Source organism: Homo sapiens, chromosome Y (genome assembly GCF_000001405.40).
Source record: "Homo sapiens chromosome Y, GRCh38.p14 Primary Assembly".
Lineage (NCBI taxonomy): Eukaryota > Metazoa > Chordata > Mammalia > Primates > Hominidae > Homo > Homo sapiens.
The window spans coordinates 8773020-8787228 of NC_000024.10; the positions used below are offsets into that span (position 1 = coordinate 8773020).

The following is a 14209-nucleotide window of genomic DNA, read 5'->3' on the forward strand; positions in this document are numbered from 1 at the left end:
TCCCCTGATGACTTTAAGCTCTTGTTCAGCTGGGAACCAAATTTGAGGTAAATTCAAGGAGTCCTGAGGACAAGACTGCTAGTATTTCTCACCTTAGGTTGGCCATGGGACTACAAAACAGTGGGAGATATCAGTTCTTGGGATTCAATATCTACACTGCGGATTCAATATCTACAGAGAAATTAAGAACAGGGAGCCACACAGCCCAAGCAGAACCACACATACAGGTGACCAAAATGTTGGGTTCTTAAAAAAAAAAAAAAAAGAGAGAGAGGAGTGCTGCAATGCATTTACCACATTACTTTAGGCAGGTTCCACTTACAGGGACACACTCCCACACATACACCCACAGATACACAAGGCCACACATGCAAGCAGACACCCAATACTCGCAACACTCCCACAGAAACAAACAGCAAACCAGCTTCTGAGTCTGTGTAATTCTTCAGGAAGCCATACCTGGGAAAGATCAACCCCAGGGAACACAGGTGAGTTGTACCTAGTAATCATTTTGGGGCATATTTCAAAAAGAGTCACCCTTGTAACACCTAAGCAGTCCTCAGGCATCCTGAAGACTGCTTTGTATCCTTAGGGATTTCATGGTTCATTCCTGCAAATCTGCTTGATGTTTCTTCGGGCTGGCTCACATCTACCCTCTACTAGAGTCATGGGACTGTCACGCAGATCCCACAGAGAAGATAGGCGAGAGTCCATGGCTGATGCATCTCCACGGAGGTCTTATTCTCTGCCAAGCCACAGGGACTTGTCACTAGGCAATGGTGGCATTTATTGTGTCACTAGCCAGAGCTCACTGCTCAGGCCTGGTGCTTTGAGACTAGCTCATGAGCATTCATGAGGCAGGCTCAGGTGTGTGGCTGTCAGAACTGTCAGCCTGCCTAAGCAGAGGAAAATGGTACAGGCAGAGCCAGCCTGGTATTGAGAAAAAAAAATTGCCTGCAATAACCTACTTGAGCCCCTAAAAATCTCTACCTTATTGTTCCTTCGGGTCATCTTGGTGGTGGGGTCCTGGCGAAGGAGGAAGTATTTAGAGACTGTGAGATGGTCGCTGGAAACTGCTCTTCTGACTCCATTCCCAGAAGAGGCTGTGTGCAAGAATCAGGTCACATGGGGATTGGAAAAGGGTCCAGTGAGTTGTTGAGGGTTCTTTATGTGATGGAATCATAAATGAGACCCCAGAGATGGGTGTCTGTGAAAGATTGCTGGGTTCTTGACCTCACTGCCTCTCTTTACCCTGGGCCTCACAGGAGCTCTCCGGGATAGGCAGGAACCACTACAAAGTCAATTTCAAGGTGGAGCAGTGTTCCCTCACCTTGAACTGGCCTCGTGTGTGGGTAGATGAGTTTGTGACAGTGTCTCAGAGGCCATCTGTGGTGATTGCAAACCTGAAAATGGTGTCCAGTAGTGCTGTTGGCAGGCAATGTAGAACTCCATGAAAGCCAAGAAAAATCAGTGCTTACCTGAGAGAATGAGCTGCCTTGTGCTGGAGTACAAGCAATGTTCAATGAGTCTTGTCAGAGGACACAAAATTCTCTTGCAAAGTGCAAACATCCTCAGCCCCACAATGTGACCACAACCCACAACCTGAAGTTCAGCCAGTCTATCCGAAGTCTTTTTTACTTCTGAAATCCCTTGCTTCCAAAAGATCTGTAGTGAGAGACAGTCCCATCCAGCAACAGCCAATTGAAGGAGATCTATGACAATGAGAAAGGACGTGCAGAAGAAATGAAACAGAGCCTAGATTACCAGGCAAATGTTAGATGTGGTTGCCTGCTTCTCACTCCATAGGAGTCATGCCACCCTTTGATTGAAGTGGGAAAACAAGAGTTTACCTGTTGGTGGCTCTACAGGAATTTATGGTTTTTAAAGTATCAAAGCTGTCGAGTCATTAAAACCTGACAGTGTTTTGAAGAAAATACTCACACAATGGATTCCCATGAGGGTCATCCTTTGTGAACTAGGAAATGGTTAGTGTGGAAGACAGTGAGCCAGAACAAGGAAACCCTAATTTGATGAGGAACATGGAAGTCAGAAAAAAGGAGGCAACTCTGGAGGCCATATCTCACCCAGCATCAATCCATCCCACTCCCATTTGGCCCCATGTAAGAAAGCCCTCAAAGTGCAAAGCCCCAGTTTGCAGTCCATATGTTCATGGCACGTTGGAAAACTCCCACTTGAACACCGGGTCATGGTTTGCACTGCTTGTGCTCTTAAGGGAATGCGGGGATGCAATTGAAAGCAACTTCTGTGTCATCTGTCTTCACCTTCTTTTCAGGTGAAAGTGTGGGACACAATCCACACCTCACCAGACTGTATCCTCTACCCTATCTGACCTTATTTCTGCTCACACTTTCTGTTTCAGAATGAAATCCCAAGACACTGGAGTAGTGCCCCCTCAACTCACGACATTAAGCACCTGCTTGGCTGTTCTCATATATTGATTAATCATAATTATAGTTGTTTACATTCATTGTGAAACACAATGTTCCATATTTCTTCCTTCTTCTCCATCATTTATTTTCTTCTCAGATTAGTTATAGTTTTGTCAAATATATGAAATAAGGTAACACTGCAGTATTTCAGAAAGCACACTGCATTGGAAACAGACTCATATTGAAATGGGAAAACATCCCTTACTCCCCACAGCCAGGCAAGGAATGAGGACAGGTTGTGGGACTCCGACCACAGGCAGCATCTAGGGGTGAATGCTTACAGCTCCTGAATCCCTAGTGGGTATGTGTTACACGTTGTTAATTTAGTTTATCCATCTGTAAGCGGCTTATGTTAGCTCAATTAGACACCGTACTTTACTACAAAGACAGAGGGATTTCTGGATCCCAGGGTTTCCTGCCTTGGTGTACCTGAAGAATTGTCCTGTCTCACACTTGGGCTTGGAGAATAAGTGCAAGGTTTCATTGAGTGGAAGTTCTCAACAGATGGATGGGGAGCCAGAAGGGAGATGGAGTGGAAAGGTGGTTTTGATTTGGAATGAGGCAGCTCAGCACTGTCCTCCCACAGCCCCGCAGAACTCTGTGTTCTTCTGCAGTGGATGGCCCACCACCTCAGTCTTTGTGCTCTCCTTTCTCTGGTGTCCCCTCAAGGTCCAGTTGCTGTGTCTTGCTCTGCTGATGGTTCCTCTCAATGTCCAGCTGCTGTGTCTCTGCCTACTAGCATCTCAGGGTTTCTGATAGCACAGGATGGGGGTAAGTCAGGCCAGGTTGTTCTTGGAAAATGCAATGCTAAGGCAAAAAAAAAAAAAAAAAAAAAAAAAAAAAAAACAGAACCGCATGTCCTCACCAATTTGGGCAGGAAAACAGAAGTGCGTGTCCTCACCTAGGTCAGTGAGCACAGGCCTGAGTATGGAGGCCTAGCTAAGAGCCACACCTTCCTCTACCGGGCACTTTCCTGCCCCCATTCCATATCTATATATCTATATCTATATCTATATCTATATCTATATCTATCTATCTATATATATATATATATTTAATTTAAAACCAAAAATAGTATCAAAATCCTTTTGAGAAGACCACTGGAGAAAAAGGCATTAGAAGAGTCAGCCTAGGATTAGGGTCACTACACAGAAAATTGAATCACAGAGTATGTCCTGCAGGCCATGGAATCACTGCAGAAACATATCCCCTACTGAGAAGGAGAGGGAAACAAACTATATTCTCTCATCTTTTTGTTCTCTAATCTCTGCAGTGGCACTCCTTGACTGAGCTGAAACAGGAAGTAATTTTTATAGGAGACTAGGAACCATATCTCCCAAGGGCCATGCCTCTCTATTACAGAACAGTGCCAGAGAGAGGTGACTGATGTATCTCTGGGCATACAAACCCAGGACCTCACACAAAGGACTATCAGAGACAATTATAGTATCAAGGGATCAAGAGAGAAGTAGTCTGAGAAACGACTCATGCGTGATATTTGTGAAAAGACCAAAACATAAAACAGAGCTTATGAGGTAGTAAACATAACAAGAACTTACAGAAAAGCAGGCAAAATTGTAAAGTCCAGGCTATTTACCTTTCCTTTATAGGATTTTGAAATCCTCTTCCAGAATCCTTTTCCCAATAACTTCCATTCATGGATTCATTCATGAAATATTTATTGAGCTAGTATGGTCTAAGAATTGGGCCAAATGCATCATATGCTCTGTTAGAACTTCTGTCATTGATAGAAAGAATGTTTCTTTTTTTCTACCATGTTTTTCTCCAAACATTCTTGCAAATTCATATCCTTACAGATGTGGTAAATTGTTCTTGCCCTAAGAAGGTTCCCCAAACCCCTGTAAACCCAGTTAAGAATTTCCTTCCTCTCCAACTAAGTTACTAAATTGCATATATTGTAACACTTGTCAGAGTACATTGCAATTATTGCTCTTCTCTTCATCCTCCAATTAAACTATGAATATTTTGAAAGAAAAGCCTATAAACACAATGGCTTGACATTTGTCAATATTTATTGCACAAAAGTTATTAGATATTTACATATAATATTCTAATGTATTTGTCCTAATTTTTGGAAAACAATATAAACAATGTTCACTGACTGTTCCCAATGAACTGCTCAACTTTAAACAATGTCTATGCATTTAGAGCAGTCATACACACTTCCAAAAAATGCCTGAAAGTGTTTTTATTTTAATTTAATATGTTTTTTATATTGAATTATTTTGTAGAGGCAAAGTGTTGCCACGTGGCTCAGGCTGAAATGCAGGGTGCAATCACAGCTAACTTCAACCTTGAACTCCTGAGTAAACAGTACAATAGATGTGTGACATCATGCTCAATTTAATTAATTAAATAATTAATTTCATTTTAGAGATAGCTGTTACTATGTTTCCTGTTCTGGTGTCAAAATCTGGGTTTGAAGCTGTCCTCCCTACTCAGTTTCCTGAAGGGCTGAAATTCCAGACATGAATGACCAGACCTCAAAGAGGAAATTTTAGATTTTAGAATATTGTAATATGTTAGACTTAATTTCTTCTTTCAATTTTGCATTTGCAGTGGCACTTGAGAATAATTATTTCTTATGTTGAGAGTGTGATTTCTCATACTTGGCCAACAAATTTTGAAATACTTATTCTGTTTACTTAAGCCCTAATAAATCGTAGTCAACTCAGCTAAGAATAGAGTACATAGATGTTTTTGTGTTGGGGCCGGAAAACAAATGTAGAGAGATATTAAGAACCAAAGACTTTTTTATGTATATCCTAAAGCTTTATGCTTGCAAGTGACATATCATACATGGAATGGATAGTTTTATACAATACCCTGAAATACATACTACAGTAACCAATTTAGCACTTGCAATTTCCCAACTTTGTTTTCATCAGAAGTTAATGATGTATGGCACTTCTAGTAAGTAAATGAATGTTTGAGTTGCTGTGAGTTATTTTAGTCATTGCTCAGCTAATCATTTATCAAAGATCTTTACATGTGCAATATCATAAATGATGGACATTAAAAATTAACAGGATTTATCTAACGAAAAGCTGCTATCTAATGTGGTATTTTTCAGTAAGATGACAGCAGTAATTATCCCAAAAAATAGTTATTCCAGTAGTTTGAGCCATTTTAACAATTTCCAACCAAAGATTACACAGTCAGTTTCCAGATCTTGGCAACAGTAATTAACGTAATGGCTATTAATGAGAAGAGATTTTGATACATCCAACTGTCTTTGGATGTCAGTGCCTTGAAGGGATGAGTTTGGCATATTAATAAGAAAAGGTGCATTGCACTGGATACTAAGAAATGTACTGCATTGTTTTTCTTATCTTCTATAAAAATGAAAGGTCAATTGGAGATACAGAAACAATGGAACATTCCACCACACGGCCTGACATTTCATTATACTTTGATTTTTTTAAACATGTACAAAGGTCATTAAATATGCAAAGGTAGGACTGTTATAGGATGAAAGTGTTGGAGTCAGAGGTCACAATCCACAGCAAAGTGATAATCTTTTGTGGGTGGCTCCCTGAGCGCTGAATTAGAGTGAGAATCAACTTTCAGGCTGCTAACAGAGTACAAGGAGAATGAAGCTATCAACAGTTGACCTTATTGGATTAATTGAAATGAATGTTGACAGAGAGTGTGTTGGCTTTATATGAAATTGAGTATAGTACTTCAAATTGAGAATTTGATGAGGGTAAACTCTTACCAAATTTCCTATATGTAAAATTGAGAATTAAAAGATTACACAAACCATATATTATGGGCATCTCATATAAATTTATATACACATGTGCAAACTTGCAGCGTACAAATATTTGTCTATATCTAAATATATCCAAATCCATTGAAGAACAGTTAGAAATTTAGAAATTATTCTCCTGTTTTACCACTCCCCTTCCTAGAATTTTGTCACAAATATAATTTTTCCATCTGTTTGAAGCCTACTGTCTGGAGGCAGGTAATGTATGGATACAGTAAAGCCATGAAATATCACAGGGTTTGTATCAGAGAAAATAATAACACTGGTGTTATAAAAGATCCACTATGAGGAGAAATTTATACTTCACAAGACTACAAATACGAAGTATTATTTCATTGAAAGATGGTATCAGTCAATACAATTTGTTTTTAATGTTTTATTTAAAATCCTTAATCTCAAAAGGACAATGATATTGCTAAAAAATAATGATTCAGAATTTCCTTTAATTTATTGATTATTTAAAATGTAAGTGAAATACTAAAAAGTATTATATAATGTAGTTTCATGAAGCATTTTCTATGATTTTGTAAAATTAATAGCTGCAATGGAATTTTTTGACACAGATAAATTTCTTTATATTATTTTATTGCTTATTATTGTACTTTCACTTTATTACTTGCTTGCATGTCATAACTGATAGAAATAAAAATATTTTTAGTTACACATATAGAAAGCATGGATTTTTGTTTATGTTTTCTAATTTAGAGAAAGTCACCAATAATTTTATCTATATAGGAAAATTCTGAAAAGCCCCACGTTCTTAACTTTATTGTCTTTTGAAGTTTCATATTTCAGTCTAGGTATGAGATCAAATTGACTGTGATTATTTTTTGATTTCACTATGACTACTGAGTTTCTGATATAGTGAGATATATATATATATATATATATATATATACAGTGACAACCTCCTTAACCAGGATGGACTCCACATCCTCAGCATACGATGTTGGCTGAAAGTGTTACTCCTGGTGCCCCAGCCACTGTTTCAAGGTGCAGAGAATGACCAGCAGACACCTGAGTCCTTGTCCTCCTGTCCAAGTAATATACATAGAATTAGTAAAAGAGTGGTACATTAGACCTCATGACATTTTTAAGGCTGACCTCTTTATGAGCATTTCATCCAGATACTTATGAGTTTATCTCATTTATTTTATTTATTTATAGCTCTCATTTCAAAATAAATTTTTGCTTGAGAGATATTTCAACATATAACCAAATGTTTGGAGCTATGACATACAGGTTTCAAGCTTGAAAGTCTGTATCTGCTATTATGTGGGGTAAAAGCTATCCATCACTTATAAAAATAAGTAATTTTTAGTCATGGCCAATGTAGTGGTCTAAAACACACTTTGAAATTCTTTGCAAACCCATTTGAAAATATTCCTGATGCGACTGAACACAGTACTTGCTTCTAAGGAACAGAAAACAGGGCAAGCATTTTCTGGATACTGGGCCACCTCTGGCCTAAGTTAGAAAATGTGACACAGCTCTGCCTAAGTCTCTTGATCCCATGGGGACAAACCCCTCAGGAGCCCCAGACCAATATATCACAAAGTCTAACACCCTGATAACACTATGCAGAAAGAACAACCCATGGAGAGAATCATAAAACTAAAAGGAGATGCCTGAGGATCTCAGCAGTCCAGCCCTTACTATTTGAGTCATGCTAGCCATGACACCAGGGAGATGAGAAGACACCTGACAGTGTCCACATCCTGAGTCATGAAGAGATTGCACCCTCCTGAGTGTCCCTGAACCACAATCATTTGGCTGATAGACTGTGGAAGCTTGCAGACTGAGAGTAAACTATAATTATTGTTTTAAGTCACTAGGTTTTAGATAATTTTGAAAGGCAGTTTAGACTCCTAGAAAACCTGAGTTGTGTACTGATTTGAGTAATTGTGGAGAACTTTAAAGGTGAACGTCACTAGTGCTAATACCCTGGAAAAAATCAAACCATCAAGACTCTTCTGAAGACAATATTGCTTATCAACTGAGCTTTAAAACAGGTATGAGGCAGGTCACAGAGGCTCAACCTGCACTCCCAGCAGTTTGGCAGGCCAAGGTGGGTGGATCTCTTGATGTCAGGAGTCTGTGATAAGCCTTGTCAACATGGCATGAATCCAAGTCTAATATCATACAAAGGCTAGCTGGGCATGGTGGCCCATGAATGTAACTACAGCTACTCAGGAGGCTGATGCAGGACAATCCACTGAAACCCAGGCATGGAGTTTGCAAAGAAGTGAGATCACAGCACTGCAGTCCAACCTGGCAACAGATTGAGACTCTGTCTCAGAAATAAAAATAAAATAATAAAATAGGAGAGATCACTGAAGAGATAAATGCATAAAACTGAGTAGGTATTGTGACTGATGCCTGACATCGCAGCACTTTGAGAGGCTGAGGTGGGTGGATCACATGAGGAAAGGAATTCAAGACCAGCCTGAGTAAACATTGTGAAACCAGGTCTCTACTAAAAGTACAAAAAAAAAAAAAGAAAAATAGACAAGATTAGTGTCGTATGCCTGCAGTCACAGCTACTCGGGAGGGTGTGACTGGAGAATTGCTTGGACCCAGGATGGGGAGGTTGCAGTAAGCACAGATAATGCCACTGCACTCCACCCTAGGTGACAGCGCAGGATTCCATCTAAAAACAAAAATCAAAGAGAGACACAGGGAGAAAGAAAGAAAGGAAAAAAGAAAGAAAGAGAGAGAGAGAAAGAAAGAAAGAAAGAAAGAAAGAAAGAAAGAAAGAAAGAAAGAAAGAAAGAAAGAAAGAAAGAAAGAAAGAAAAAGAGAAAGAGAGAGGGAGGGAGGAGGGAGGGAGGAAGTAAAGAAGGTAAGAAGGAAGGATGGAAGTAAGGAAGGAAAGAAGGAAGGAAGGAACGAAGGAGAGAATGAAAGGCATAAAACCAAAGGGAAATGAATAAAAATAAAAACTTGCCATTTGCTCATTATCCACATGGTTTTTGAATTATGTTTAAAATAATATTAAGGTCTCCAGTGGACTCACAGAAACTTTAAAATAAGCTAGTGTATATTGTCAAAATTACTCATGTAACTATGGTGTTAACTAAGATACTTGCAGTTTTCAACAACCAAATCTAAGTGACATTTGTCTTCAAATTGCATGCTACTAGGGGCAGGGTAGTCTGTGTTATGCTGCCTAATCCACATTGAATTAAAAATGAATTCAAATATGGAAAACATTTTACACTTACTATTACCAGTAAAGACTGTTGTGTTTCCTGATGTTTTGAGGATTTTATTGCCACAATTTTTATGGATCTGGCAGAAAGCCTTCCTCATCCAAATTCACCCCTTATCATCACAGTAAAAGTGTATTCAGGAATTAAGAGGAAAGAGCATCCAGTCCCTCTGCTTTCCTGCATTGGTTCCCATGCACAAGCAAATGTGCTGTGTCAGTGGCTATCGAATATACATATTTTTGATCAATGAAATTTATGTTTCCAAATGGTAAAACAAAAAATATTATTATCAGTTGTATTTTTATCATTTATTTACTGAGAGGTGGAGCCTTGCTTTGTCACCAGGCTGAATCATACATTACTGTAATCTCAGACTTTTGGGCTCCTAGGATCTCTAACATCACCCTCACAAAGTACTGAAATTACAGACTTGAGCCACTGTACCCAGCCTAAAGTTTAGAGAGAAAGGCTAATGAATATATTGTACACCATATAAATAAACATAATTGCAGGTTTTCTAGAGGGCTGTAAGAAACCACTGAAAAGCTGCCATTGTGTAAGGCTGCTGGCAGCAATGTAATGCAGGCAAAGGAGTGGGTCCTTCCCCACTGAGCCTTCAGAAAATACCAGAGGCCTGCTTGGCATTTCCATTGCTGCTTTTTGAGAGAACATGAAGCATATTTGTGTATGTTTTGTGTGTGTGTGTATGTGTCAGTGTGTGTGTAAGCATACATACATAACCAGTTAAACAAACTGGGCTCACCCACACAATGGAATATGATGCAGCTTTTTGTAGATATGGTAGAATTCATCCCAAATTTATCAATTCCTGGGCTTCTTTTTTTTTGGCTGGTAGGTTATTTATTAGTAATGACTCCATTTCAAAAATTGAAATTGAATAGGCTGGAGCTGACACTGGATCCACTTTGATTCTGCTGTGGAACAGAGAATGGGATGACTGTAATTTTGGCTGTGATGCTTACTGGAAGGTTTCTGCATAGATATGCTAGCTTTCTGCCAGCAGCAGGAGGGCCTGAGGCTGAAAATCAGCTCCCTTGACACCTTTCATATTGCCCAGAAATTTTCTCAAGGATTACATAGTTCCCTGACTAAGGGAAAGGCCAGGGCTGAGAGTGTCTCCTCCCTATAGGGGACATAGGCTAGAGAGTCTAGGTCCATTTTCTGCTGGACAGAGCCTGGATAGACTACATTTATTGGCTCAGACTGGCAAGTTCCCCAGCATGGTAGTTGCTTCCGAGCCACAGTGGGAGGGTCTGGAGCTGAGACTGGGATTCTCTGTTACTCAATAAAATCATGTGCTCTAGAGATTCTAATGCCCAAGTTATTTCCATTAGATTTATCAGAAGTGAAGTTCCTTCCAGGGATACCAAGGCTTATTATAAAACTACTTGCCTGCTGGGTCCAGGTAGGGCCAGAAACTTCATCCTTAACCACTAAATTGCCTCCGATTTTCAGCCTGGGGATGGATGGAGCACACAGGGCTAGGATGGTCAAAAGTATGGCTGCTGCAATGGGGTGGGGTCACATGCCCCTTCTGTGGATAATCACCAAGCTGCCACTTTGTCACAGCATTGGCTGTTTTGCAGAAAAAAACCAGGATGGGATTTGGCAGTTGGCCAATGATTTGAGCCTGGCAGACCCATCAACCACGGCTGGTTGTTGCAGAATGATGTTGTTGCCTAGTTTCTCTGAAACAGCACCTCTCTGGCTGGAATGCAAAGCCAACAGTAAGATTACTGTATGGTCAGTGTGAGCCCCATCCATGTAGTTATTTTCTAACTGACCCCAGTTGTCTGATACCTCCAATGTTTCCTACCGGGTAAGGCTAGAGAGAACATCATGTGAAAAATTGCAAAATAGAAAAGAAAAAGTTGAATGTACGCTTTCAACTCTCTCCTCTCTGAAGAAACTGCGAGGCTGGGAAAAAAATTTTGTATGCAACACTTTGCTGGCTTGGGGAGGAAAAAAAACATCAAATTAAAACTGATATTTTATCCTGCATGTGGCTATTTTCAGTTCTACAATCAAAAAAGTTGTCATAGATTAAATCCCAAGTTATAGAATCATTCACTAAGATGTCTTTGTCTAAGGAAAGTTGTGAGTTTTGATTTTTTGTGGAGAGGGTGGGAATTAACAGAATTACAGAATGCCTATTATGTCACATCAGACCCTAGAAACAGGCAAGTTAAAAGACTGGTCCAGGATCACACCTGTAACCCAAGCACTTTGGGAGGCCAAGGCAGGCATATCACTAAGTCAGGAGGTTGAGACCATCCTGGCTAACACAGTGAAATCCTTTCTCTACTAAACATAAAAAACAAAATACCCTGGTATGGTAGCACGTGCCTGTAGTCCTAGCTACTTGGAAGGTTGAGGCAGGAGTATCTCTTGAACACGGGAGATGTAGGCTGAAGTGAGCTGAGATCACACCACTGCACTTCAACCTCAGTGACAGAGTAAGACTTGATATTAAAAAAAAACTGGTTATAAGGGAGGAGTTTAAAAGGTTGGGGTGCTTCCGTGGAGAAGCTGAAAGCTAGAGCAAACCAAGGGTTGCGTTTAAGGAAGAGCTCACAGGACCATTGAAAACCACCTCTTTGTCCTGTACGGAATGCAGGGAATAGTGAATGTGGAGCTCCACTGCTTACTGATATGTGCAAGTTATCAGCCAGAGATACACATCTTAGTCTGTTTGTGTTCCTATAAAAGAATATGAGACTGGAAAAATTATAAAGAAAAGAGCTTTCATTGGCTGCTGGTTCTGCATGCTGTAAAAGATGTGTGGTGCCAGCATCCACATCTGGTAAGAGCCCCACAAGGCTTCCACTCAGGACAGAAGGTAAAAGGAAAACAGGCATGTCACATGTGGAGAGAGCAAGACAGAGATGGAGAGAAGGTCTCAGGCTCTTTTCAACAACCAATTTGGATGTAAGCTCCATTGTGGGAAGTAATACACTGGAAAAGTCACTTATTTATCATGGCAAAGGTGCCAAGCCATTTATGAGAGATGCAGCCCCATGACAGGAACACCTCCGACTAGATGCCATTTGCAGTGTGAAGACTACATTTCATTCTGAGGCTTGGAGTCACAAATGTCCAAAATATATCAATAGGCAAGTTTAAAAATCATGCAAAACTGCTGTAACACAATCCTTTTTCTTCTTTAGAATCCTGAGACTATAAAAAGCTGTGCTTCATTAGCTTTCAGGGATTGGCAAGTCAGTATTCAAACTCGTAGGGAGCCACCTGATAAGTCAGGGCAATAGTTGGGTAGTTTGACTTCTTCAAGGGAAAATTTAGAAGCTCAGTATATTGCTAGAGTGAGTAATGATGAAGACAGATGAGAAATGCCTATATGCCTAGTCTCAGAGGACCTTGACAGATCAAAAAGTCAGAATCAGAAGCAAGATACCTGGGAAGAAGCTATAAAAATCAAGACATGGCTGGGTGTGGTCATTCATGCCTGTAATCCCAACACTTTCAGAGGCCAAGGCAGGGGATCACCTGGTGTCAGGAGTTAGAGACCAGCCTGACCAACATGGTGAAATATTGTCTCTACTAAAAAATACAAAAATCAGCCTGGCATAGCGGTGGTTGCTGTAATCACAGCTACTTGGGAGGCTGAGGCAGGGGAATCACTTGAGCCCAGGAGGAAGAGTGCAGTGATCTGAGATCATGCCATTGCACTACTGCCTAGGTGACAGAGCAAGATTCTGTCTCAAAAGAATAAAGAAAGAAAAAAAAAGTCAAGGCATTAGGTGTACAATCTAAGTTCTTTGAATCACAAAGTGGGAGCTGAGCTTCCTTGACTGCTTGAGATCCAGTAAGCTAGGAGGAAACAGTTTCAGAAATGCTTGAGTATCTATTTAAATCCCTCTTTTATCTTGGAGGTCCTAGGAGAGTTATGAATGCCAATCTGTGTTAGAATCCAGAGATAGGTAAGTTAGGAATCATTTTATTGAGAAGCAGCTGTAACAGTTGGGGAATTACATTTGTGGCTTAACACTTCAGTCCTCTGAGAGAAGCTGTGAAATAACAGTTCCCTATTGATTTCAGACCACTGGGACAGACATAAACTCCAGAACAAGACCATGATTCAGTTTTTCTTACCTCTTTTTAAGAGAGTATTTTCATAATCCTATATGCAAGAGTATCTCAGCTAGTTTCTGGGTTTATCTCATAGGGAATTGATGTCGGTGTGGCTTTTTATTTGTTGCTTTGTGAATGGAGGAACAAATTAGAGCCTATCTTATCAGTTTGTTGGAGATGCCCTTTTTATTAATTTTTTACTTATTTTAAAATATTTGTACAAAACTGTTGTAGATACTTTTGGCATACATGCGATATTTTGATACAAGCACCATGTACTGGTAACGAAGGAACCAAAGAGGGGATTGGGGTGACTTAAATTATAGTTCTTTAGAAGGAATAAGATCTAGTGTTCAGTAGCACAGGATGAGTACACTTAATGATTTAATGTGTATCTCAAAAGAATTAAAAGAGCGAAGGTGGAATGTCACTCACACCAACAAATGGTATGCCAGACTCGGTGGCTCATGGCTATAATCACAACACTTTGGGAGGCCAAGGAAGGAGGATCATGTAAGCCTGGAAGTTTGAGACCAGCCTGTCCATACAACACACACACACAAACAAAAAAGCTGGGCACAGTGGCATTTGTCTGTAATTCCAGCTATTGGGAGGCTCAAATGGAAGGCTAACACATTTGAACC

At 40.0% G+C, this 14209-nt stretch overlaps 1 long non-coding RNA gene across 1 annotated transcript in view; it reads right to left on the minus strand.

Moving 5' to 3' along the window:
• Positions 1-10293: 10293 nt before the first annotated feature.
• The window catches only part of TTTY11 (testis expressed transcript, Y-linked 11), a 34070-nt gene continuing 30154 nt past the window's right edge, over positions 10294-14209 (minus strand). Inside the window, exons 4-5 of the long non-coding RNA NR_001548.2 lie at positions 10869-11184; positions 10294-10387 (exon numbers count right to left, since the gene is read on the minus strand). This is a non-coding gene — a long non-coding RNA (testis expressed transcript, Y-linked 11). The remainder of the gene's footprint in view (positions 10388-10868; positions 11185-14209) is intronic.